This window comes from Homo sapiens, chromosome 19 (assembly GCF_000001405.40).
Source record: "Homo sapiens chromosome 19, GRCh38.p14 Primary Assembly".
Classification (NCBI taxonomy): domain Eukaryota; kingdom Metazoa; phylum Chordata; class Mammalia; order Primates; family Hominidae; genus Homo; species Homo sapiens.
Genome location: NC_000019.10, coordinates 10,316,200 through 10,339,721, shown reverse-complemented (window position 1 = coordinate 10,339,721; position 23,522 = coordinate 10,316,200). Strand labels below are relative to the sequence as shown.

The 23,522-nt window shown below is 56.7% G+C and overlaps 2 protein-coding genes across 12 annotated transcripts, besides 12 other annotated features; both read left to right on the top strand.

The window, feature by feature from the left end:
* Window positions 89-138: an enhancer, noted in NCBI's record as "active region_13960". NCBI's record gives its function as "activates an Ori minimal core promoter by ATAC-STARR-seq in GM12878 lymphoblastoid cells {active_cell/tissue: GM12878}" and the evidence as "EXISTENCE:reporter gene assay evidence [ECO:0000049][PMID:35858748]".
* Window positions 98-5,946, top strand: ICAM3 (intercellular adhesion molecule 3). Of its 7 annotated transcripts, none has more exons than NM_002162.5 (7): window positions 98-183; window positions 774-1,040; window positions 3,746-4,051; window positions 4,369-4,656; window positions 4,940-5,194; window positions 5,314-5,562; window positions 5,663-5,946. In NM_002162.5, exons 1-7 carry the CDS (start codon window positions 108-110, stop codon window positions 5,863-5,865), a joined length of 1,644 nt encoding a protein of 547 aa, NP_002153.2. In that variant the 5' UTR covers window positions 98-107; the 3' UTR covers window positions 5,866-5,946. The 7 variants fall into 7 exon arrangements, with proteins under 7 accessions (NP_002153.2, NP_001307535.1, NP_001307534.1 ...); NM_001320606.2 differs by having other exon boundaries at window positions 477-1,040; NM_001320605.2 differs by lacking the exon at window positions 4,369-4,656.
* Window positions 359-458: an enhancer, noted in NCBI's record as "active region_13959". NCBI's record gives its function as "activates an Ori minimal core promoter by ATAC-STARR-seq in GM12878 lymphoblastoid cells {active_cell/tissue: GM12878}" and the evidence as "EXISTENCE:reporter gene assay evidence [ECO:0000049][PMID:35858748]".
* Window positions 744-1,492: an enhancer, noted in NCBI's record as "H3K4me1 hESC enhancer chr19:10448906-10449654 (GRCh37/hg19 assembly coordinates)". NCBI's record gives its function as "activates a minimal SCP1, AML or CMV promoter by ChIP-STARR-seq in naive H9 embryonic stem cells {active_cell/tissue: H9 hESC(naive)}" and the evidence as "EXISTENCE:reporter gene assay evidence [ECO:0000049][PMID:30033119]".
* Window positions 4,550-5,168: an enhancer, noted in NCBI's record as "H3K4me1 hESC enhancer chr19:10445230-10445848 (GRCh37/hg19 assembly coordinates)". NCBI's record gives its function as "activates a minimal SCP1, AML or CMV promoter by ChIP-STARR-seq in naive H9 embryonic stem cells {active_cell/tissue: H9 hESC(naive)}" and the evidence as "EXISTENCE:reporter gene assay evidence [ECO:0000049][PMID:30033119]".
* Window positions 5,793-5,932: an enhancer, noted in NCBI's record as "active region_13958". NCBI's record gives its function as "activates an Ori minimal core promoter by ATAC-STARR-seq in GM12878 lymphoblastoid cells {active_cell/tissue: GM12878}" and the evidence as "EXISTENCE:reporter gene assay evidence [ECO:0000049][PMID:35858748]".
* Window positions 5,793-6,799: a biological region, named in NCBI's record as "H3K27ac-H3K4me1 hESC enhancer GRCh37_chr19:10443599-10444515".
* Window positions 5,883-6,799: an enhancer, noted in NCBI's record as "H3K27ac-H3K4me1 hESC enhancer chr19:10443599-10444515 (GRCh37/hg19 assembly coordinates)". NCBI's record gives its function as "activates a minimal SCP1, AML or CMV promoter by ChIP-STARR-seq in naive H9 embryonic stem cells {active_cell/tissue: H9 hESC(naive)}" and the evidence as "EXISTENCE:reporter gene assay evidence [ECO:0000049][PMID:30033119]".
* Window positions 6,173-6,392: an enhancer, noted in NCBI's record as "active region_13957". NCBI's record gives its function as "activates an Ori minimal core promoter by ATAC-STARR-seq in GM12878 lymphoblastoid cells {active_cell/tissue: GM12878}" and the evidence as "EXISTENCE:reporter gene assay evidence [ECO:0000049][PMID:35858748]".
* RAVER1 (ribonucleoprotein, PTB binding 1) lies at window positions 6,193-23,510 on the top strand. Of its 5 annotated transcripts, NM_001366174.1 has the most exons (14): window positions 6,193-6,433; window positions 9,196-9,262; window positions 10,611-11,080; window positions 16,156-16,347; window positions 16,448-16,577; window positions 16,983-17,077; window positions 18,104-18,191; window positions 18,463-18,674; window positions 18,771-18,864; window positions 18,940-19,067; window positions 20,482-20,556; window positions 21,350-21,493; window positions 21,949-22,032; window positions 22,122-23,510. In NM_001366174.1, the coding sequence occupies exons 1-14, from the start codon at window positions 6,215-6,217 to the stop codon at window positions 22,266-22,268; spliced, it is 2,145 nt and encodes a 714-aa protein (NP_001353103.1). In that variant the 5' UTR covers window positions 6,193-6,214; the 3' UTR covers window positions 22,269-23,510. The 5 variants fall into 5 exon arrangements, with proteins under 5 accessions (NP_001353103.1, NP_597709.3, XP_047294097.1 ...); NM_133452.3 differs by having other exon boundaries at window positions 18,771-19,067; XM_047438141.1 differs by lacking the exons at window positions 18,463-18,674; window positions 21,350-21,493; window positions 21,949-22,032; window positions 22,122-23,510.
* Window positions 6,565-6,788: a silencer, noted in NCBI's record as "fragment chr19:10443610-10443833 (GRCh37/hg19 assembly coordinates)". NCBI's record gives its function as "represses an EF-1alpha promoter that drives an FKBP-Casp9 reporter gene in an ReSE screen in HepG2 liver carcinoma cells {active_cell/tissue: HepG2}" and the evidence as "EXISTENCE:reporter gene assay evidence [ECO:0000049][PMID:32094911]".
* Window positions 6,800-7,716: an enhancer, noted in NCBI's record as "H3K27ac-H3K4me1 hESC enhancer chr19:10442682-10443598 (GRCh37/hg19 assembly coordinates)". NCBI's record gives its function as "activates a minimal SCP1, AML or CMV promoter by ChIP-STARR-seq in naive H9 embryonic stem cells {active_cell/tissue: H9 hESC(naive)}" and the evidence as "EXISTENCE:reporter gene assay evidence [ECO:0000049][PMID:30033119]".
* Window positions 19,351-19,564: a silencer, noted in NCBI's record as "fragment chr19:10430834-10431047 (GRCh37/hg19 assembly coordinates)". NCBI's record gives its function as "represses an EF-1alpha promoter that drives an FKBP-Casp9 reporter gene in an ReSE screen in HepG2 liver carcinoma cells {active_cell/tissue: HepG2}" and the evidence as "EXISTENCE:reporter gene assay evidence [ECO:0000049][PMID:32094911]".
* Window positions 22,628-22,819: a silencer, noted in NCBI's record as "fragment chr19:10427579-10427770 (GRCh37/hg19 assembly coordinates)". NCBI's record gives its function as "represses an EF-1alpha promoter that drives an FKBP-Casp9 reporter gene in an ReSE screen in K562 erythroleukemia cells {active_cell/tissue: K562}" and the evidence as "EXISTENCE:reporter gene assay evidence [ECO:0000049][PMID:32094911]".

Below are 23,522 nucleotides of genomic sequence, written 5' to 3'. Positions count from 1 at the left end.
CCAGACTTCTGCAATCTTAACCGCTGTGCTTCCGTCGCAGTGGGAGGCCCCGCCTTTTCCCCTGCCTGCCCTTCGGGCACCTCAGGAAGGCACCTTCCTCTGTCAGAATGGCCACCATGGTACCATCCGTGTTGTGGCCCAGGGCCTGCTGGACTCTGCTGGTCTGCTGTCTGCTGACCCCAGGTGAGACCAGTCAAGCCGGGGAGGGCTGGAGAGGGCTGCGTTTTGGGGATCAGTAGAGGGTAGAGGAATAGAACGCAACGCTGTTCACATCCTGCCACACTGCGACCTGGCCGCTGACTCTGTATCCTCGGGAGAAAGTTCTGGTTCCTTAGTTCAGCCTTCAGGTGGTCAGGCCCCAGCATAGGCTTGTACGCCATCCCTCTCCCCTAACACACACACACACACCCCTCATGCTTCCTGCTCCATCTGAACTCCTGAAATTTGCCCTTTGCGTATGTGCTTCCCTCTGCCAGGATCACCTGTCCCTTTCACTTGCTAACTCCTACTTAGCCTTCAGTTTCGGGCTGCAATGGTCCCCGCTTCCAGGAAGCCTTCCCTGACTCACCTCCTCCTATGCTGGATCAGAGCCTCTTCTGGCCTCCTTCTGAGTTCTCCCCGGTCTCTGATGGATTCTACCTTTCCCACTGGACCATGAAGGCAGGAACCCTTCTGTCTCGGCACAAGGAGAGAGGTGTTAAATGGTGGGGCCTGTTGATGCGTGGGTTGGGGGACAAGGAAACAAACACCAGGACTTCTTCATGTTCCTGAAGGTGTCCAGGGGCAGGAGTTCCTTTTGCGGGTGGAGCCCCAGAACCCTGTGCTCTCTGCTGGAGGGTCCCTGTTTGTGAACTGCAGTACTGATTGTCCCAGCTCTGAGAAAATCGCCTTGGAGACGTCCCTATCAAAGGAGCTGGTGGCCAGTGGCATGGGCTGGGCAGCCTTCAATCTCAGCAACGTGACTGGCAACAGTCGGATCCTCTGCTCAGTGTACTGCAATGGCTCTCAGATAACAGGCTCCTCTAACATCACCGTGTACAGTGAGTCGACGTGTCCGGAGGTGGGACTGGTCTTGGGTAGTGGTGTGGGCAAGTGGCCAATGGCTCAGGAGAGTGGGGACCCTCAGTTTGCAAAGAATGGACCACAGTTCTGACCCAGAGCTCAGACCTGGACATTTGTGTGTGAGATACAAAGATAGACAGAGACAGAGACACAGAGACAGAGACAGAGATATAGAGACGCATCTCAATCTCATGCCAAGGCAGCAGTTGTGAAATCAATTAACTTGGGCCCCAACAAGCATTTTTTTTTTTTTTTTGAGACAGAGTTTCGCTCTTTTTGCCTAGGCTGGAGTGCAGTGGCACGATGTCGGCTCACTGCAACCTTCGCCTCCTGGGTTCAAGTGATTCTCCTGCCTCAGCCTCCCGAGTGGCTGAGATTACACATGCACGCCACCACACCCAGCAAATTTTGTATTTTTAGTTGAGATGGCATTTCACCATGTTGGCCAGTCTGGTCTTGAACTCCTGACCTCAGGCGATCCGCCCACCTCAGCCTCCCAAAGTGCTGGGATTACAGGCATGGGCCACTGCGCCCGGCCCCAACAAGCTTTTTTTTTTTTTTGAGATGGCGTCTCTTACTCTGTAGCCCAGGCTGGAGTGCAGTGGTGCAATCTCGGCTCACTGCGACCTCTGCCTCCCAGGTCCAGCTAATGCCCAGCTAAGTTTTGTATTTTTAGTAGAGACGGGGTGTTCCGCCCACATCAGCCTCTCAAAGTGCTGGGATTACAAGTGTGAGCCACTGCGCCTGGCCCCAACAATAATCCCAACACTTTGGGAGGCCAAGGCAGGAGGATTGCTTGAGTCCGGAAATTTAAGACCAGGCAGAGCAATATAGGGACACCCCGTCTCTACAAAAATAAATAAAAAATATTAGCTGGGCATGGTGGCACATGCCTGAAGTCCCAGCTACTTGGGGGACCAAGGTGGGAGAATCGCTTGAGCCCAGGAGTTCAAGGCTGTAGTGAGCTATAATTGCACCACTGCACTCCAGCCTGTGCAAAAAAGCAAGACCCTTGTCTCTTAAGCAAAAAAGGGGGTACCCCTTTCAGTCAGCAGTAGGCAAATGGAGGTTTTACATTTACACTTTTTTATACCTTTATTTTAGAGACAGGATCTCCCTATGTTGCCTAGGTTGGTCTCAAACTCCTGGGCTCAGGCAATCCTCCCACTTCAGTCTCTCCAGTAGCTGGGATTGCAGGCCTGGCTACTTTTTTTTTTCTTTTCTTTTCTTTTTTTTTTTTTTTGAGACAGAGTCTCACTCTGTCCCCCAGGCTAGAGTGCAGTGGCGCAATCTTGGCTCACTGCAACCTCTGCCTTCCGGGTTCAAGCGATTCTCCTGCCTCAGCCTCCTGAGTAGCTGGGATTACAGGCGCATGCCAACACGCCCAGCTAATTTTTGTATTTTTAGTAGGGACAGGATTTCACCATGTTGCCCAGGCTGGTCTCAAACTCCTGGCCTCAAATGATCTGCCCGCCTTGGCCTCCCAAAGTGCTGGGATTATAAGCGTGAGCCACCATGCCTGGCCTACTTTTTGACTTTTCTTTTCTTTGAGACGCAGTCTTGCTATTGTCCCCCATGCTGGAGTACAATGGCGCGATGTCAGCTCATTGCAACCTCCGCCTCCTGGGTTCAAGTGATTCTCCTGTCTTAGCCTCCTTAGTAGCTGGGATTACAGGCGTGTGACACCATGCCCGGCTAATTTTTGTATTTTTAGTAGAGACAGGGTTTTGCCATATGGGCCAGGTTGGTCTCAAACTCCTGACCTCAAGTGATCCGCCTCCCTCGGCCTCCCAAAGTGGTGGGATTACAGGCATGAGTCACCTTGCCCAGCCTTTTTTTTTTTTTTTTTTTTTTTGACATAGAGTCTCTCTCTGTCGCCAGGCTGGAGTGCAGTGGCACTATCTCAGCTCACTGCAAATTTTGCCTCCTGGGTTCAAGCGATTCTTGTGCCTCAGCCTCCTGAGTAGCTGGGATTACAGGCACGTGCTACCATGCCTGGCTAATTTTTGTATTTTTAGTAGAGATGGGGTTTCACCATGTTGGCAAGGCTGGTCTTGAACTCCTGGTCTCAGGTGATCCGTCCACCTTGGCCTCCCAAAGTGCTGGGATTACAGGCATGAGCCACAGTGCCCGGCCTGAGGCCCAGCGTTTTGTAGGTGTACTGGGGAGGGCACCCAGCCTGGGAGTGTCAAGTCTCCTGTGACTGTGCCGGAGTATCTTGAGAGGCTGCCACAGGGCTGGTGAACCAGGAAAGCCCTGAGTGTCTGAACCTGATTGGAGAGAACTGAATAATCCTGACCTTTTGATCCACCCACCCCGGCCTCCCAAAGCTCTGGGATTACAGGCGTGAGCCACCACGTCTGGCCATAAACAGGAATTTTTAATATTCATATCATAGTCATAAACGTTCATCCCTTCCATCCTCATTTTTTTTTATTGTGCCATCTTTGAGAACAGAAAGTTTTGTTTAGCGCCTTGCAAGGTATCTGACAACACAGGAAATGATAATCACTGCGCTAATGATAATAGCAAACGCTTCGACTGGCCCAGCTCTAAGCCCTCTAAGTTTATTAACTCAAAGCTCACAGTTCTCGGCAGGACCACCCTGTCTCCTCCCCAGTCCCTGGGGTGAGTGGGTGGGTTTGCAGGACCCGCTAAGTGCCATCCTCCCCTCCTCTCTCAGGGCTCCCGGAGCGTGTGGAGCTGGCACCCCTGCCTCCTTGGCAGCCGGTGGGCCAGAACTTCACCCTGCGCTGCCAAGTGGAGGATGGGTCGCCCCGGACCAGCCTCACGGTGGTGCTGCTTCGCTGGGAGGAGGAGCTGAGCCGGCAGCCCGCAGTGGAGGAGCCAGCGGAGGTCACTGCCACTGTGCTGGCCAGCAGAGACGACCACGGAGCCCCTTTCTCATGCCGCACAGAACTGGACATGCAGCCCCAGGGGCTGGGACTGTTCGTGAACACCTCAGCCCCCCGCCAGCTCCGAACCTTTGGTGAGAGAAGGGGCTTCAGACGGTGGGTGACGAGCTGAGCCAGGGTAGACGGTGCCCTGACCTTGGGGTTCCTGAGAGTGGGGTACCCCGGACCTCACAGGCTTCTGGGAAGGAAAGCCCCCGGCCACTGGGCAAGGTGGCCCCGGAAGGGAGGCCCGAGCCGTGGGATCTTTGAAGAAGGCCGTTTTCATGGCCCTGTGTGTGTGTCCTGTGAAGAAGGGTGACCCAGTCAGCAAGATATCCTGACTGGGGGGGATGAGGGTGTCCTGGGGAAGGCACAGTCCTGGGGGTTGTACTATGCCCACCTTTCTCCCCAGTCCTGCCCGTGACCCCCCCGCGCCTCGTGGCCCCCCGGTTCTTGGAGGTGGAAACGTCGTGGCCGGTGGACTGCACCCTAGACGGGCTTTTTCCAGCCTCAGAGGCCCAGGTCTACCTGGCGCTGGGGGACCAGATGCTGAATGCGACAGTCATGAACCACGGGGACACGCTAACGGCCACAGCCACAGCCACGGCGCGCGCGGATCAGGAGGGTGCCCGGGAGATCGTCTGCAACGTGACCCTAGGGGGCGAGAGACGGGAGGCCCGGGAGAACTTGACGGTCTTTAGTAAGAGGAGGCGTGGGAAGGGGGCGCGGCCTCAGCAGTCTGGGGGCGTGGCAGAGGGGGCGGAGACTAGCCGAAAAGGTGGGGCCTGGCTTGCCCCAATAGCAGTTGCAACGTGGGTTGGGCCTGAGTGCCCGAAGCTGGACACAGCGCGGAAAGAGGGCGAGGCTTGAACGGCCGAAAGCGTGGCCCGGATATCCCGAGAGGAAAGGGGAGGGCGGAGGGAGCGGCTTGACCCACAGGAAGGTCCTGTTCATTAAGCTCCTGGGCAATGCCCCGCCTTTAGGCTTCCTAGGACCCATTGTGAACCTCAGCGAGCCCACCGCCCATGAGGGGTCCACAGTGACCGTGAGTTGCATGGCTGGGGCTCGAGTCCAGGTCACGCTGGACGGAGTTCCGGCCGCGGCCCCGGGGCAGCCAGCTCAACTTCAGCTAAATGCTACCGAGAGTGACGACGGACGCAGCTTCTTCTGCAGTGCCACTCTCGAGGTGGACGGCGAGTTCTTGCACAGGAACAGTAGCGTCCAGCTGCGAGTCCTGTGTGAGTCGGTCACCCTGACCTTTAATCCCTCCACCCCTGCCCTGGAAAGATTAGACGCTCCTCTGCACCACTGTGCCTCGGGTGTGTTGGGTGTCTGATCACACATGGTGGTTCCACAGATGGTCCCAAAATTGACCGAGCCACATGCCCCCAGCACTTGAAATGGAAAGATAAAACGAGACACGTCCTGCAGTGCCAAGCCAGGGGCAACCCGTACCCCGAGCTGCGGTGTTTGAAGGAAGGCTCCAGCCGGGAGGTGCCGGTGGGGATCCCGTTCTTCGTCAACGTAACACATAATGGTACTTATCAGTGCCAAGCGTCCAGCTCACGAGGCAAATACACCCTGGTCGTGGTGATGGACATTGAGGGTGAGCTAACACGGGGCTGCGGGTCTGGACCGGTAAGCCGGGGGGCGGGGGGGTTGGAGACAGAAGGGACGCATATTGACTTAGCGCTTTCTCTGCACAGCTGGGAGCTCCCACTTTGTCCCCGTCTTCGTGGCGGTGTTACTGACCCTGGGCGTGGTGACTATCGTACTGGCCTTAATGTACGTCTTCAGGGAGCACCAACGGAGCGGCAGTTACCATGTTAGGGAGGAGAGCACCTATCTGCCCCTCACGTCTATGCAGCCGACAGAAGCAATGGGGGAAGAACCGTCCAGAGCTGAGTGACGCTGGGATCCGGGATCAAAGTTGGCGGGGGCTTGGCTGTGCCCTCAGATTCCGCACCAATAAAGCCTTCAAACTCCCTAATCTGTGGTTTGATTCCACCCGCGCTGCAAGTCTCTCCCACCCAGGTGCACATCCACTGAGTAGCGTCGCTGCGACGGAAGGGGGCGGGGCCTGTGGCGCGCAGACGCAGCTTGAACTCTTGAGAGGTGGGCTGGGGCTTAGCCAACGGGGCAAGGGGGGCGGGAAGGAGGTGGGGTTTCTCCCAGCCAATCGACGGGCGCGCCCTCGTTGCCGCTCTATGCCGCTCCGCCCCGGCTCGCTGGTCCCAGAAGGCGCCGGGTTTCCCAAGATGGCGGCGGACGTGTCCGTTACTCACCGGCCCCCGCTGAGCCCTAAGTCTGGGGCCGAAGTCGAAGCCGGCGATGCCGCGGAGCGCCGGGCGCCGGAAGAAGAGCTGCCGCCTCTAGATCCAGAAGAGATCCGGAAACGCCTGGAACACACCGAGCGCCAGTTCCGTAACCGCCGCAAGATACTGATCCGGGGCCTCCCGGGGGACGTGACCAACCAGGTATTGGGGGGGGCGGTGTAGGAGCGTGGCGGGAAATACCACGGTGCGCGTGCGCGGGGGGAACCGGGCGACACCAACGCTGAGGTGCGCGGGGGTCGTTGGCGGGGGCGCCCAAGCACCGGATCCACGCGGGATCGGGAGAGACCAAGAGCGGGACGTGGGGGGGCGATGATGAAAGGGGAAACCGACTGCGAAGTGAGGGAGGGCGTTGCTAGGGGCGACCACAGGCTTGGGCGACACCAAGTGATGGAAGCGGGCGGGGAATGGAAGGGGGCGGACAGCTTTGGTCCTGTTGGGGAATTGTGAATGGGCTGGTACATTGGACCACCAGTTGCCCCCTGCTTGGATGATGCTTTTCTCCACCCACTCTACCACAGGGTGGCGGGACCTCACATCCAGAAGTTTCAGGACTGCGGAGAGTACGCCCCTCCATATCACGCGTTTATTCACTGCTCTCAGAGATAAATCCGGAAGTTAACAGCAGCCCCTGGGTCTCAGCCCCCAAAACCTCAGGATTAATTTGGGAAAATGGGGTCTTCTGCCACCAGCCTACAGACCTACAGGAAGGAAGCGAGGCCTGTGTTCTATGGAGCCCCTCGTGGCTAATCTTCCTGCTAGGAGTGCCCTTCTCATGGGGCCAGCATGGGGCAGCGCTTCCCAATGCTCTTTGGACCCAGGGAAATGGCATCTATACTGCCCTGCCCTATGGCGGTGAAATAGGTTCTCGCTTCCTGCTGCTGAGATTCCCTGCTCTCCGGCCCACCAGCACACCGGGTGGGCACGTGGCTAGTGGAACCCCAGGGATGTTGGGAGGGGCTGAATTTGGGGACAGATCGGGACAGGGATCATTAAGGATGGTCAGGTTTCTTTCTGGGTCTTCCTCTCAGTGTCTGCAGTCTCTCAGCTGGGAACACATTGTCTCTCCTGCAAGATGCACAGTGTGTCTGGTCCCAGCAGGCGCCAGCACTTTGCCTTCAAAGCTGGCTTGAGAGGCTGGGCATGGTGGCTCATCCCTTTAATCCCAGCACTTTGAGAGGCTGAGGCAAGAGGCTGTATTGAGCCCAAGGGTTCGAGACTAGCCTGGGCGGTATAGTGAAACCCTCATCTCTACAAAAAATTTTTAAAAATTAGCCAGGCATGGTGGTGCGTGCCTGTAGTCCCAGCTACGCAGGAGGCTGAGGTGGGAGGATCACTTGAGCCTAGGAGGTTGAGGCTGCAGTGAGCTATGATTGTGCTACTACACTCTAGCCTAGGTGACAGAACAAGACACTATCTCTAAAAAAAAGAAAAATAAATGAGCTGGCTTGGAAGAGGGCAGCTTTATCAGCAGGAGGAAATTGGGAGGCATGTGAACCCACACAACGTGGGGCTTACTAGAAGGTGGGCTCCCCAGTCAGGTACCCATGGGTGGCTGCGCTGCCCAACTGCATGGCCTCCAGCAGATCTCTTCACTTCTCCTAGCCTAAGTTTTCTCATATACAACATGAGTTTGTTAATACTTCACTTACAGAGTTGTTGGAAACAGTGAATCTTGCAAAAGGAGGTTCATGCAGGTTAAATGGCTTCCCTAAAGGCATACTCTTTTTTTTTTTTTTTTTTTTTTTGAGACGGAGTCTCACTCTGTCGCCAGGCTAGAGTGCAGTGGCTTGATGTCTGCTCACTGCAACCTTCACCCCTCGGGTTCAAGCAATTGTCTTGCCTCAGTCTCCCGAGTAGCTAGGACTACAGGTGCACGCCACCACAGCCAGCTGATTTTTGTATTTTTAGTAGAGATGGGGTTTCACCTTCCTGGCCAGGATGGTCTCGATCTCTTGATCTTGTGACCCGCCTGCCTCAGCCTCCAAAGTGCTGGAATTACAGGCGTGAGCCCGGCCTCTTTTTTTTTTTTTTTTTTTGTTGTTGTTATTTTTTTTTTTTTTTTTTTTTTTTTTTGAGACGGAGTCTCGCTCTGTCGCCCAGGCTGGACTGCGGACTGCAGTGGCGCAATCTCGGCTCACTGCAAGCTCTGCTTCCCGGGTTCACGCCATTCTCCTGCCTCAGCCTCCCGAGTAGCTGGGAATACAGGCGCCTGCCACCGCGCCCGGCTAATTTTTTTGTATTTTTAGTAGAGACGGGGTTTCACCTTGTTAGCCAGGATGGTCTCGATCTCCTGACCTCGTGATCCACCCGCCTCGGCCTCCCAAAGTGCTGGGATTACAGGCGTGAGCCACCGCGCCCGGCCTTGTTGTTATTGTTGTTGACAGTGTCTCCCTTTGTCACCCAGGCTGGAGTGCAGTGGCACACTGCAACCTCTGCCTCCTGGGTGCAAGCAGTTCTCCTACCTCAGCCTCCCGAGTAGCTAGGATTACAGGTGTGCGCCACCACTCCTGGCTAATTTTTGTATTTTTAGTAGAGACAAGGTTTCACCATGTTGGCCAGGCTGGTCTCGAACTCCTGACCTCAGGTGATTCACCCGCCTCGGCCTCCCAAAATGCTGGGATTATAAGCGTGAGCCACCCCGCCCAGCCAGCTAAAGGTATACCCTCTAAGAGCATGTTGCCTGGGTAATAGCACAGTCTGCAGCTAGGTTCTGAATCCCATCTCTGCCAGGTATGAGCAGAATGACCTTGACAAAATTACTGCATCGAGCCTCAGTTTCCTCATTGGTAAAATGGGGGGTGGTAATTGACCTGCCTTCATAGCTGGTGGCAGCTATGAAGCGGCACTGGGTTGCCCCCTTCCATCTCCAGTAACTCCCTGTCTTTTGTCTTGTATCTCCACAGGAAGTACATGACCTGCTCAGTGACTATGAGCTCAAATACTGTTTTGTGGACAAATACAAAGGGACAGGTTTGTGGGGCCATGGGGCGGGCCAGGGCAGGGAGTGACCATCCCTGAAGATGGGAGGGCCTGGCTCACTGTCTGCTGCTCTGAGCTTCAGGCCCAGTATTGCCCCCCAGGCCAACATGGCAGGTTGCCCCAATCTGCCTGTCATCCTGTCATCTTGGGACAGCCTTCATGTTCTCCTTGGAGAACACTGGGCATCGGGCTGATTCTCTTCCTACTCCACTCGCTTGGCATTGAGCTAATTCTTGACAACGTTTGGCCGTGGGTTCATTCTCTTCTTACCCCTCTTGCCTCACTCAGCCAGTCACCCCTGCTTGTGTGGTCTTTTTTTTTTTTTTTTTGAGATGGAGTCTTGCTCTGTCGCCAGGCTGGAGTGCAGTGGCGCGAGCTCGGCTCGCTGCAACCTCCGCCTCCTGGGTTCAGCCCATTCCCCTGCTTCAGCCTCCCGAGTAGCTGGGATTACAGGCATGTGCCACCATGCCCGGCTAATTTTTGTATTTTTAGTAGAGACAGGGTTTCTACCTGGGTGGGTCCAGGTTAACCAGGTGAGGAGGTGGGGCTCAGTGTTCCATGCTCAAGAAACAGCAGCTGCAAAGGCCCCTCTGGAGTGTGCCTGGCGTGGTCCGGGTGGCAGCGGTGAGATGGGAGGGGAGGTCAGCGAGCCCGCACAGGCTGCACTGCACCCTGCAGCTAGAAGCCACAAGATGGATGTGGCGTGATCGTTTTGAACAAAGCTTCCTGCGGCCGCTGGGTGGATCGCAAATCTGGGGCAGCACGTGGCAGCAGGGTTCAGGGGCACTGGTGGCCTGGAAAGGTGGCAGGGGTGGGCAGTGTGTAGAGTGGGCCTCTGGAGTCCGGCTGCCTGGGTTCAAGTCCAGGCTCCCCTACTCGGGGCACAGGGGTGCTGCTCTGGGCCCGTTTCCTCTCTGGCAAAATGGTGATTGTGATGATTAAGTTATATCCATTTGAGAGATGAGGAAACTGATACCCCCAAAGCCACCTGGGGCTTGGGGCTTAAATCTGGGCCCCAGTGAGCATGGGCTTAACCACTGCCCTTGGTATCACCCGAGTGACCCACAGCGTTCTTAGGACAGAGCCAGGCCCACAGTTGGTGAGCGCTGCTGTGGGTGCAGGTGGACGCAGGGCTGGGAGAGGGAGTGGGCTTCGTGGAGCCTAGAGTCAATGGCAGGCGCTCTCGCCTGTGTGAGTCGCCAAGGCTGGCAACTGCTCAGATCAGCAGGCACCTGAGATGCCCAGCATTTGGAGGTCCCACCTGGTTTGCAGGGTGGCGGGGTGGAGGGGCAGGCCCTCAGGGCCCGGCTGACCTCGCACTGCCCTCCTCCCACCGCAGCCTTCGTGACCCTGCTGAATGGGGAGCAGGCCGAGGCCGCAATCAATGCTTTCCACCAGAGCCGCCTGCGGGAGCGTGAACTGTCGGTGCAGCTGCAGCCCACGGATGCCCTGCTGTGTGTGGCCAACCTGCCCCCCAGCCTCACACAGCAGCAGTTCGAGGAGCTGGTGCGGCCCTTCGGCAGCCTGGAGCGCTGCTTCCTGGTCTACAGTGAGCGCACTGGCCAATCCAAGGGCTATGGCTTTGCTGAGTACATGAAGAAGGACTCGGCTGCCCGTGCCAAGTCGGACCTGCTGGGCAAGCCGCTGGGACCACGCACCCTCTACGTGCACTGGACGGATGCCGGGCAACTGACGCCTGCCCTTCTCCACTCCCGCTGCCTCTGTGTGGACCGCCTGCCACCTGGCTTCAACGATGTGGACGCTCTGTGCCGGGCGCTGTCAGCTGTCCACAGCCCCACCTTCTGCCAGGTGAGCCCTGTGGAGAGCATTGGGGAGCAGGTGCCAGGCCCGGAGCACCTGAGAGAGTCTTTGGAGTCATCTGCCTTTTCTTTTTTTTTTTTGAGACAGTCTCACTTTGTCACCCATGCTGGAGTGCAGTGATACAATCTCAGTTCACTGCAACCTCCGCCTCTTTGGTTCAAGCAATTCTCTTGCCTTAACCTCCAGAGTAGCTGGGATTATAGGCGCCCCGCCCCCATGCCTGGATAATTTTTATATTTTTAGTAGAGATGGGGTTTTGCCATGTTGGCCAGGATAGTCTTGAACTCCTGGCCTCAGGTGATCCTCCCAAAGTGCTGGGATTACATGCGTGAGCCACCACACCTGGCCAGGGGATTTGAATCCCTCTGCAGCCTCAGGCCTCACTGTCCCTCTATCAGATGCATGCAAGGCCACTCTTGTAACTATGGATCTCGAGGCTTGCTCACCACTCACCTCCTCATTCGCTGGTACCCTCGTCAAACCTCCCATGGGGTCCCAGACCTGGACCAGGCATTGAGGAGGCTGCAGAGGAGCCCACAGTCTATTTGAGCCTTGAGGTCAGAGACTGAGGCTTTGCCAGATCCCAGCCCCGCCCTCGAGCTCGGGCCAGTCACTGGCTCTCTGATCTGCAGTTTCCCTCCTCCATAAGCAGGGACTCAATACTTGCACAATGGGTTGGCAAAACAGTCCCTTGTTCATTCAAGCCACACATGCCAGGCACTTCTGTGTGTGTGCCTCGCCCTGTAACAGGTGCAGTGGGGCGAGAACAGGCCAGACTCACTCTCTAAGAGCCCCCAGAAGGTCTTGATCCCCAGAGATCCCAAAGGGGACATTCCCCCAGCACTCGCTGTGGACTCTGAGTACGTAACCTTCAGTTGCTTCATCCTGTAGCAACCCTGAGAGGCAGGTATCACTCCCATTTTCAGGTGAGGATACCAAGGCACAGAGGGGTCAAGTAACTTGCCTAGAGTTAAACAGCCAGGGTCTGGCAGAGCTGGGATCAGAACACCGCAGCCTAGCTCCAGAGCTTGGGCCAGTGAGCGGAGGCCAGTGCAGAGGCTTAAAAGGGGTAGGCCTGGCCAGGTGCAGTGACTCACACCTGTAACCCTAACACTTTGGGAGGCTGAGGCGGGCGGATCCCTCGAGCCCAGGAGTTCGAGACCAGCCTGGGCAATATGGTGAAATCCTCTCTATACAAAAATTAGATAGGTATGATGGTGTGCCTGTAGTCCCAGCTACTCAGGAGGCTGAGGTGGGAGGATTGCCTGATTCTGGGAGTCCGAGGCTGCAGTGAGCCATGATCGCACCACAGCACCATGACACTACAGCCTGAGCAACAGAGCTAGACCCTTATCTCAAAAACAGAGAGACAGTCCTGGGCTCGGACCCCCAGCTCTGTGGGCTTGAGTGGGTCCCTCTCGTGTAAGTGGGGTATTGGTGCCCCATTTAAACTAGGTGTCTGTTGGGAGGCAGAGGCAGGAGGATCACTCGAGACCAGGAGTTCAAGACTAGCCTGGGCAAGATAGTGGGACACCATCTCTATATTTAAAACAAGAAACAGGCTGGGTGAGGTGGCTCATGCATGTAATCCCAGCACTTTGAGAGGCCGAGGCAGGTGGATCACTTGAGGTCAAGAGTTCAAGACCAGCCTGGCCAACATGGTGAAACCCTGTCTCTACTAAAAATACAAAAAAAATTAGCCAGGTGTGGTGGTGCAGGCCTGTAATCCCAGCTACTCAGGAGGCTGAGGCAGGAGAATCGCTTGTACCTGGGAGGTGGAGGTTGCAGTGAGCTGAGATCACGCCACTGTACTCCAGCCTGGGTGACAAAGCAACACTGCATCTCAAAAACAGAAAAAAAAAAAAAAAAAAAAACAGGCCAGGCGCAGTGGCTCACGCTTGTAATGCCAGCTCTTTGGAGGCCGAGACGGACGGATCACCTGAGGTCAGGAGTTTGAGACCAGCCTGACAAACATGGAGAAATCCCGTCTCTACTAAAAATACAACAAAAAAAAAAAGGTAGCCAGGCATGGCGCCACGCGCCTGTAATCTCAGCTACTCAGGAGGCTGAGACAGGAGAATTGCTTGAACCCAGAAGACTGCGGTTGCGGTTAGTGGAGATCGTGCCGCTGCACTCCAGCCTGGGCGACAGAGCGAGACTCCGTCTCAAAGAAACAAAAAAAACAAAAACTGAGTATCCATGAGCCACGGGAACCCCCTCTCTGTTTACTTATCATTCATCCATTCTGCTGCTTTCTCTTGGACACCTGCTACGTACCAGGCCTGCTATGTACCAGGCCGCCTGTGCGGGCTCAGGACAGAAGATGAGTTAGCACAATGGCCTCACCTTTCTTTTATTTTATTTTATATTTTTTTAAGACAGAGTCTTGCTCTGTCACCCAGTCTGGAGTGCAGGGGCGCGATCTTGGCTCACTGCATCCTCCGCCTCCTGGGTTCAAGTGATTCTCCAGCTTCAGCCTCCCGAGTAGCTGGGATGACAGCGCCTGACACCACACCCAGCTAATTTTTGTGTTTTTAATAGAGATGGGGTTTCGCCGTGTTGGCCAGGCTGGTCTTGAACTCCTGACTTCAGGTGATACACCTGCCTCGGCCTCCCCAAGTGCTGAGATTACAGGTGTGAGCCACTGCGCTGGCCTGGCCTTACCTTCTTATGTGGAGATCAAAGGTCACAGGGTCATGACCAGCTACAGGTACTCTCCTAGCCTGTTTCCACATCTCAAAATGGGGCTGGCAGTGCTTCATGATCAGGTTGTTGTGAACAGCTGCCCATTCATTCCTCCACTCGAACATTCACTAAACTTAATTTTTTTTTTTTTTGAGACAGGTTCTCAATCACCCAGGCTGGAGGAGTACACTCCGGCCTCGACCTCCTGGGTTCAAGAAATCCTCCTACCTTGGCCTCCCATGTAGCTGGGGAACTACAGGAATGCATCACCATGCCCAGCTGATTTTTAAAATTTTATGTAGAGGCCGGGCACAGTGGCTCATGCCTGTAATCCCAGCACTTTGGGAGGCTGCGGCGGGCAGATCACTTGAGGTCAGGAGTTCGAAACCAGCCTGGCCAACATGGTAAAACCCTGTCTCATGGCACGGTGGCTCACGCCTGTAATCCCAGCACTTTGGGAGGCCGAGGTGGGTGCATCACGAGGTCTGGAGATCGAGGCCATCCTGGCTAACATGGTGAAACCCTATCTCCATTAAAAATACAAAAAAAAAAATTAGCTGGGTGTGGTGGCATGTGCCTGTGGTCCCAGCTATTTGGGAGGCTGAGGCAGAAGAATCACCTGAACCTGGGAGACAGAGGTTGTGGTGAGCCAAGATCCCACTACTGCATTCCAGTCTGGGTGGCAGAGCGAGACTCCGTCTCAAAAAAAACAAAACAAAAAACAAAAACCCTGTCTCTATTAAAAATAGAAAAAAAATTAGCCAGGCGTGGTGGTAGGTGCCTTTAATCCCAGCTACTCGGGAAGCTGAGGCAGGAGAATTGATTGAACCAGGGAGGTGGAGGTTGCAGTGAGCCAAGATCATGCCACCGCACTCCAGCCTGGGCAACAGAGCGAGACTCCCTCAAAAAAAAAAAAAATTATGTGAAGATGGGGTCTCCCTATGTTGCCCAGGCTGGTCTGAAACTCCTGTGCTCAAACGATCCTCCTGCCTTTGCCTCCCAAAGAGCTGGGATTATAGATTCGAGCCACTGGGCCTGGTCTCACCAAACATTTGTTGAGCATCTGATGAGTAGCAGGCGTTGAAGTGATGTCCTCCGAGGAGCCCACCTTTAATGTTAGGTGACCCAGCTGAATGGAGGGTGGGCTTGACAGTGAAGCAGCTTGAGGTTCACACATCAGTCCCTCGACTTAGGAATTGTGTGGCCTTGATCACTCTGTGACCCCTCTGAGTCTCTCTCTGTTCATCCCTAAGATGGGTGTGTTTATGGCCGGGCACAGTGGCTCACGCCTGTAATCCAGCACTTTGGGAGGCCAAGGCAGGCGGATCGCTTGAGGTCAGGAGTTCAAGACCAGCCTTGCCGACATGGTGAAACCTCATTTCTACTAAAAATACAAAAATTAGCTGGGCGTGGTGGTGCACACCTGTAATCCCAGCTACCAGGAGGCTGAGGCAGGAGAATCACTTGAACCCAGGAGGTGGAGGTTACGGTAAGCTAAGTTCACATCACTGCACTCCGGGGTGACAGAGCAAGACTCTGTCTCAAAAAAAACAAAACAAAACAAAAGCCGACAGGTTTGGTTATGGGAGATCTGTGCCCAGACCTTGGCACAGGGCGTGGGCAGAGGTGAAGGGCTGCTACCTGCACCTTTGCTGCCCGGGCATTCAGCAAGTGCCGGTGCCCAGCCCAACCACTTCCCTTAGCACTGCTACCTGGCTTGGCCACTGTCTGGAACGAGAGCCCTTCCTTCCCCACCCGTTGCTGATTATCTCTTTTTTTTTTTTTTTTTTGAGATGGAGTTTTGCTCTTGTTGCCCAGGCTGGAGTGCAGTGGCGCGATCTCGGCCCACCGCAACCTCTGCCTCACAGGTTCAAGTGACTCTCTTGCCTCTGCCTCAGCCTCCCAAGTAGCTGGGAATACAGGCATGTGCCACCACGCCTGGCTAATTTTGTATTTTTAGTAGAGACGGGGTTTCTCCATGTTGGTCAGGCTGGTCTCGAACTCCCGACCTCAGGTTATCTGCCCGCCTCGGCCTCCCAAAGTGCTGGGATTACAGGTGTGAGCCACCGCATCCGCCCGTGGCCTTGGCTTTGTTGGTGAGGTGGCTCCCAGCTCCGCCCTCCCTCCAGCTGTGTGGCCTTGGGTGCGCTGACCTCTCCGTGCCTCAGTTGCCTTCTCTGAGAAATGGGTATGATGCAGCCTCCCAGGGTCATTGGGAAAATCAGATGAGCTGATGCAGGAATGAGGCACAGGGCAGTGGAGGCCTGGCGTGGAGTTCACCCTTATGGGGCAGCTGAGTCTGGTTACGGTTGTCACTTCCCGGGGTGGTGCAGTCACTGCTGCCCAGATGCTCATGACTGCCTGCCTTCCTCCGGCAGCTGGCGTGCGGCCAGGATGGGCAGCTGAAGGGCTTCGCGGTGCTGGAGTATGAGACGGCTGAGATGGCGGAGGAGGCACAGCAGCAGGCGGACGGCCTGTCCCTGGGGGGCAGCCACCTGCGAGTCTCCTTCTGCGCCCCTGGGCCCCCCGGCCGCAGTATGCTGGCCGCTCTCATCGCTGCCCAGGCCACGGTGAGCCTGTGCGGGCAGAGGTGGCGGGGTGGGGATGGGAGCCCCATGGGGATGTCAGGGCCCCAGCGGCACTCTGAGCTGCTTCTGTTCCTTCCTGCAGGCCCTCAATCGGGGGAAGGGACTCCTCCCCGAGCCCAACATCCTGCAGCTGCTCAACAACCTGGGCCCATCCGCGTCCCTCCAGCTGCTGCTCAACCCCCTGCTCCATGGCAGTGCGGGGGGGAAGCAGGGTAAGGTGGGGCTGGACAGGGGCCCCACTGTGCAGAACAGGGGCTGCAGCGCTGCCCCCGGCACTTCCCGAAACTGCTCATCTTGGCTGCAGTGACAGGAGCCCCAGGAGTAGGGCCGAGGGGGAGTATGGAGTCATAGCGGGGGCTGCTGCTGTCCACAACTGGGGGCCGGGACCAGGGCCACACAGCAGCCTGCAGTGAGGTGGGGTGCTGACAAGAGGGGGCTGACCTTCACTGGAGTAGCCTCTGCCCCTTCTAGGCCCTTCCTTTGGGCAAGTCCACTGCCCACCCCCCGGCCCCAGAGTGTCAGTTTCCTGCCCCATCAATGGGTTCAGGGCTGTGTTTCGTGAGGTGGGGCAGGGAGGACACAGGGACCCCCACACATCCTCCTATGTCTCCCTCCAGGCCTCCTGGGTGCCCCCCCAGCCATGCCGCTGCTCAATGGGCCAGCCCTGTCCACGGCGCTGTTGCAGCTCGCCCTGCAGACCCAGGGCCAGAAGGTAACACACGCATCCCCCTCACCCACTGCTCTACAGCCCCTACAGGCTCTTTTCAACACAGCTGGTGCGATCGGTGGGGTGGGGGGACCTCTGGCTGTGCCCTGGGGGCGCAGAACCAGGGTGAGGGCGACTCCCCCAAACCCCTGCCTTTCCCACCCACATCCCCATCCCCCTCTGGCAATTGCTCATGATGGTTCGCCATCTTTCCCTCCATTCTGAGAGCGCCCCTGGACTTGGTGCCTGGGGTGGGGTCAGGGGACCTGGACACGCCCATTTACAGCCTGAAACTGGGTGTGGGCTGGGAGCGCCGCTGCTGGGCACCAGTTTGTGAATAGACTCTGCTCGGAAGCTCTATAGACATGCCTGGGAAAAAACTCCAGGTCTATCCCCTCAGTGTGTGCACACACACACACGCACACCTAGAAACACAGGTATACATATAGACTCACACATACAAAGATGCAAATATACACACAGAGACATAGACACACAAAGACATAAGACAAAGACACACACATAGACACAGACACACATATAGACACAAGACAGACTCATGCACACAGAAACAAAGACACAGATATACACGCACACACACACACAGACACACACACACATAGACATACACCCATGCTCCGTCCTGTCTGGTGTGGTTCCCTGGATTCTAAGTCAGGTGTGTCTGTCTGGTGGTAACTGACAGAATATGTGAGCCTGTGGGTCTGGCCTTCTGTGACTAAAAGTGGCTGAAACACTGTGTGGCTGTCCCATTCCATGTGGCTGCAGTTGATACTGTGCTGCAATCATTGGCCAGGGAACTGGGGCCTGGAGCTCAGGAGACCCTCGGTCACCATGGCTGATGGGACAGTGATAGAGTTGGAGTGTGGCGGGCACTGGGGAACCCTGTGCCTGTCTGCCCAGGATCGGCCGTGCCCTGGAGTTGGGGTGTGTCTGCCAAGACTCTGGGCCACACCTGTCTGCTTCCCTGGGCCACCCTGCCCCCATCTGCAACTGTCTGTGCTCTGTCCCTAGAAGCCCGGCATCCTGGGAGACTCACCCCTGGGCGCCCTCCAGCCTGGGGCCCAGCCAGCCAACCCCCTCCTCGGGGAGCTGCCTGCAGGTAACGCAGACCCTGCCCACACGGTGTCCCCCAGCCACTTCCCCTTCCTTCCCTGCTACGTGGCCTCGGGTGAGTGACCCAACCTCTGGGTCCCAGCGCCCTTGTCCATCAGTTGGGTGCCCTCCACTCAGGGCCCAGGGATGAGCTCTGCTCAGTGGCCAGCATGGATTTGTCTCTTGACCCCTGGGCCCTGGTCCAGGTGGGAGCTGGAGGGCCCTGGGGAGAGGGGTCCTGTGAGCCTGGGCCCCTGAAATCCTCCTTCCCTCCCTAGGAGGGGGCCTGCCCCCGGAGCTGCCGCCCCGGCGAGGGAAGCCACCACCCCTGCTGCCATCCGTGCTTGGCCCTGCTGGGGGTGACCGGGAGGCCCTGGGCTTGGGTCCCCCAGCGGCCCAGCTCACTCCTCCCCCCGCCCCTGTGGGGCTCCGAGGCTCTGGCCTCAGAGGCCTCCAGAAAGACAGTGGGCCTCTGCCGACGCCCCCTGGGGTAAGGCCCTGCCCTGCGCGCGGCACCACACCAGCCTCCTGTTCCGCAGGGTTCCCTCTCCCGGGGGCCCTCTCGAATCCTGCCTTCCCGCCACAGGTCTCACTGCTGGGGGAGCCCCCCAAGGACTACCGGATTCCCCTGAATCCCTACCTGAACCTACACAGCCTGCTCCCGGCCAGCAACCTGGCGGGTAAGGAGGCCCGGGGCTGGGGAGGCGCCGGGAGAAGCCGCCGCCCAGCTGAGGGCCCCCCAACTAACCCCCCAGCCCCTGGAGGTGGCAGCAGCAGCAGCAAAGCCTTCCAGCTCAAGTCCCGCCTGCTCAGCCCCCTCAGCAGCGCCCGCCTGCCCCCCGAACCAGGACTGTCTGACAGCTACAGCTTCGACTACCCCTCGGTGAGTGCCTGGCTGCAGCTCTCTGTCCCCTAAGGCCAAATCATTCTCCAAACTGATATTTCTCTAGGATTGACTATGCCAGGCCATGTGCTAGGGAGGCGGCAGGGAACGTGCCAGATATGGTCTCTGCTTTTTTTTTTTTTTTTTTTTAGAGACAGGGTCTCCCTCTGCTGCCCTGGCTGGAGTGCAGTGGTGCGATCATAGCTCACTGCAGCCTCAACCTCTTGGGCTCAAGCGATCCTCACACCTCAGTCTCCTGAGGAGCTGGGACCACAGGCACGCACCTCCATGCCCAGCTAATTTTTAAATTTGTGGTAGAGACGGAGTCTCATTGTGTTGTCCAGGCTGGTCTCAAACTCCTGACCTCAAGTGAGCCACCCGCCTCAGCCTCCCAAAGTACTGGGATTACAGGCAAGAGCCACCGCGCCCAGCCTCATGCCCTTAAAGTTTCCCGTCTGTCTGCACATCACCCCCTGCTTCCGGTCCACCTGCCTGTCTGTCCATTCTCGAGCCCTGGAGGATCTTGGGTCTCAGTCTGTCTGTCATCCTGCGTCTGTCTTTCTCTCCCAAGAGGACTTAGGCCACACTGTCTCTCCCCAGAGACAGGGCTTGCCCTTTCTATCCCTCTCTCCCACCTTTGATTCCTGTCTGTGCCCCTGGAGATTTGGTCCTTCTATGATGCCAACCTCCTTGGCAGGTCAGAAATTGCAAACTGGGCCAGGCACGGTGGCTCATGCCTATAATCCCAGCACTTTGGGAGGCCGAGGCGGGCAGATCACCTGAGGTCAAGAGTTCAAGACCAGCCTGACCAACATGGAGAAATTATATATTATAAAATATATAATAAAATATATATTTCATATATAATATAAAATATAATTTATGTTTTATACTAAAAATACAAAATTAGCCAGGTGTGGTAGACATGCCTGTAATCCCAGTTACTAGGGAGGCTGAGGCAGGAGAATCACTTGAACCTGGGAGGCGGAGGTTGTGGTGAGCCAAGATTGTGCCATTACACTCCAGCCTGGGCAACAAGAGCAAAACTCCGTTTAAAAAAAAAAAAGAAAGAAATTGCAAACTGGCCGCCCACAGGTCACCTGGGTGATGTTTGGCCCCCTCTGTGTTTCAAACAAATAACAACAGGAACTAACGCCAACACAGGAAAACTGCAAGAGTCCACACAGCTCGAATTCCCAGCTTGCCTGGGAAACTCCAAACACTTAGGCCCATGGGGGGCACCCCCCTTCACAGCAGCCATCCCTGCCAAGCTGCATCCAGCCCCAAATTTGCCTCTTCCTGGTCCCAGAGTGGTGGGGACTGTCTTCCCTGATGACAGCTCTGCCATGGAGTTCAGCCAGGGGTGAGGCTGGGACAGACTCCAACCCAATGTGCTTCTCCCGCTTTCATTCAGGACATGGGACCTCGGCGGCTCTTCTCCCACCCACGGGAACCAGCCCTTGGGCCTCACGGACCCAGCCGACACAAGGTAAGAGCCACCTGGTATGGCATGTGTAGCAATCAGCTTTTACTACATGACAGGCTGTGCCATGACTTAGTAGCCTGGAACAGCAGACCTTGTATTTTGTGTGTTCTTTGTGGGTTTTTTTAAGACAGGATCTCACTGTGTTGCCCAGGCTGGAGTGCAGTGGCTCCATGATAGCTCACTGTGGCCTCAAACTCCTGGGCTCAAGCAATCCTCCCACTTTGGCCTCCCAAAGTGCTAGGATCACAGGCATGAGCCACCATACCATGCCAGGCATTGTATTACTTCTTGCCACTCTATGGGGCAGTGGGCGGTCCCCGGCACTCACCTGGGTCTCAGTGAGCTATGTGGCCTCACATATTTGGCGTCCACAGGCTGGAACAGTTTCTGTGTGCCCATTCGTGCGGTGATGATCCCTGGGTTCCTGGAGGAGGAAGAGGAGGCGGGTACCCACGTGCCAGCTCTCCTCAGTCCTATTAGCCAAAGCTAGTCTTTGCAAAGCCCAGAACTGCCGGGCATGGTGGCTCACGCCTGTAATCCCAGCACTTTGGGAGGCCGAGGTGGGCGGATCACCTGAGGTCGTGAGTGTGAGACCAGTCTGACCAACATGGAGAAACCCCGTCTCTACTAAAAATACAAAAAATTAGCTGGGCATGGTGGCGCATGCCTGTAATCCCAGCTACTCGGGAGGCTGAGGCAGGAGAATCGCTTGAACCTGGGAGGCAGAGGGAAGATTGTATACAAAGGGCTGGGTACTACAATTGTCTGCTTCACTCCACCGGCCCTTCTTCTACAGATGTCCCCCCCGCCCAGTGGCTTCGGCGAACGGAGCAGCGGTGGGAGTGGCGGGGGCCCCCTGTCTCACTTCTATTCAGGCTCGCCCACTTCCTACTTCACCAGCGGCCTGCAGGCTGGCCTCAAGCAGAGCCACCTCAGTAAGGTGAGGAACCTCTCTGGCCAAGCACAGGCCCCCTGGGACAGCTAGGATTTGGGGGTGCCTGCCACCGGGGCTCTGTAACCCTCGGTGCCCAGGCCAAAGCTGGGGTGGTGGCAGGGGTTGGTCTTGCTCAGGGTGGAGTAGCAACAGCCTATTGTCCTCCATCCACTCTGCATCAAGCACCTAGCACTGCCAGCATTCCGGGCTTTCTGTCACTTCCTCTCTCTACAGCCCAGGCTGTGGGTGCTACTGGCCCCATCTGACAGATGAGAAAACCGAGGCTCAAATAAAATGGAGCAATTGGCCCTAGGTCTTATAGCTAGAAAGTAGCAGAAGCAAGATTTGAACCTGAAACTGTTCGCTTTCCCTCAGGGCTGGGGGGCAGTGGCAGGGGGGCGGGGTGGGTGCTTCCTCTGGCCCCCAGGGAGTGACCTGTTCCACCTCTCCATTTCTCCCAGGCAATCGGCTCTTCCCCGCTGGGGTCCGGAGAAGGGCTCCTGGGCCTCAGCCCCGGGCCTAATGGTCACAGCCACCTGCTGAAGGTACGGGCAGGGGGTGGGGACATGCAGGGCTGGGAAGCCCCGGCCCCCCAGCGGCCCCTGACCCGCCCCGCCCTGCCCTCTGTCTCCAGACCCCACTGGGCGGCCAGAAACGCAGCTTTGCCCACCTGCTGCCCTCGCCCGAGCCCAGCCCAGAAGGCAGCTATGTGGGCCAGCACTCCCAGGGCCTCGGCGGCCACTACGCGGACTCCTACCTGAAGCGGAAGAGGATTTTCTAAGTGGCTGGCACCAGAGATAACTCAAGGGCCTGCACCAAATCGCTTTTGGGTTTTCTGATGTTTTGTTTTGTGTTTTTTTTAAACCATTTTCTCTCTTTCGGTAATAGAAAAATCTCTGAAAGACTTTACTGACCAATCAGCCGGAGCCCCAGGAGCCCAAGGGGTGTGGGGGAGTCTGGAGGCCTCATTATGTCTCTGGCTTGCTCCCCACGCTGAAACCCTGCAGCCTTAAGAGAGAGGGGCCCCGGCCTGCTCTCCCTCCCTCCCCCCATCTCCTCCTCCGCTGTGCCCGTCTCTCCGGAGCCCTCCTGCCTCATTGCTCCTGTAATTTTGGCCTTTCGAGTGCCTTGGAGGTTTCCCTGACCTCCCGTGAAGATACAGAGACTGTCTCCTTTTTTTTTAACTTTGACAACTGACTTCTGTTTCCTTTTCTAAGTTTTATTTTTCAAACCACCCCGGACAGCCCCCAGCTCTGATTCCTTCAAGGCCCGGCCTGTCCGGGCCACCATTCCACACCTTGCGGTTTGAAACAGCTGTTTTTCCCACATTTGCTGCAGGCATGGCTGTCTCCTGCCCCTGCCTGCCCATCTGGCCTATACCCCAGCCGTGGGGCCCGGGGTCCCTGCCGCAGCCCCCTCCCCTTCTGATGCCTTAAAAGCTGGGCCCCAGGCCCTGCTGGCCAGAGCCACAGATGCCAAGCTCTGGGAGCTTGACTATGGACCAAACAGCTCTGGCCTAGGGATTGGGCCACCCTACCCAGGATCTCCACCCTGGGGACAGTAGAAGGGGAAAGCCTTCATCTTGGCGAACCGGCCCCACCACCCCCTCCTACCCGGGCCTCCGTGCAGAGATGGGCTTTCTCTGCCAGTCCCCTGCTGTCTGTCTGTGGGAGTCGGACATTGTGCCCATCTCCCGGAGCCTCTGCTGTCACTCGCTTGTTGAAGATGAATTCTTGAATTCTGCCTGCCCACCCCCGGCCAGATCCCTGGAGCTGGCCTCCTTCCAGCCCAGTGCCAGAAACCAGCACTCCATGAAGATAAACTCTGGGCCCGCCCACCAGCAGGACCTGTCGACCTGAGGTGACCCTGGGCCTTGCCCCCAGCCAACTGGGCCACCAGCTTCCCTCCCTTGACTCTGGGGGTCCACATCCACTCCAAGGGGACTATTCCCCCGACCCCACCCCAGTCTCCCCACACGGACCTTTGCTGAATTAAAGTTTGTAAGTAAATGGTTTTAAAGAAATCAGAGTTGGCT

What these genes read in the sequence shown, in the direction of transcription:
- ICAM3 (NM_002162.5), top strand. Translation starts at nt 108, where the DNA reads ATGGCCACCATGGTACCATCCGTGTTGTGGCCCAGGGCCTGCTGGACT. An exon ending in CTGCTGTCTGCTGACCCCAG is followed by an intron (nt 184 to 773) that starts GTGAGACCAGTC and finishes ATGTTCCTGAAG; the next exon opens with GTGTCCAGGGGCAGGAGTTC. An exon ending in CGTCCAGCTGCGAGTCCTGT is followed by an intron (nt 5,195 to 5,313) that starts GTGAGTCGGTCA and finishes GTGGTTCCACAG; the next exon opens with ATGGTCCCAAAATTGACCGA.
- RAVER1 (NM_133452.3), top strand. Translation starts at nt 6,215, where the DNA reads ATGGCGGCGGACGTGTCCGTTACTCACCGGCCCCCGCTGAGCCCTAAG. An exon ending in GGACAAATACAAAGGGACAG is followed by an intron (nt 9,263 to 10,610) that starts GTTTGTGGGGCC and finishes CTCCCACCGCAG; the next exon opens with CCTTCGTGACCCTGCTGAAT. An exon ending in CCTCGGGGAGCTGCCTGCAG is followed by an intron (nt 18,192 to 18,462) that starts GTAACGCAGACC and finishes TTCCCTCCCTAG; the next exon opens with GAGGGGGCCTGCCCCCGGAG.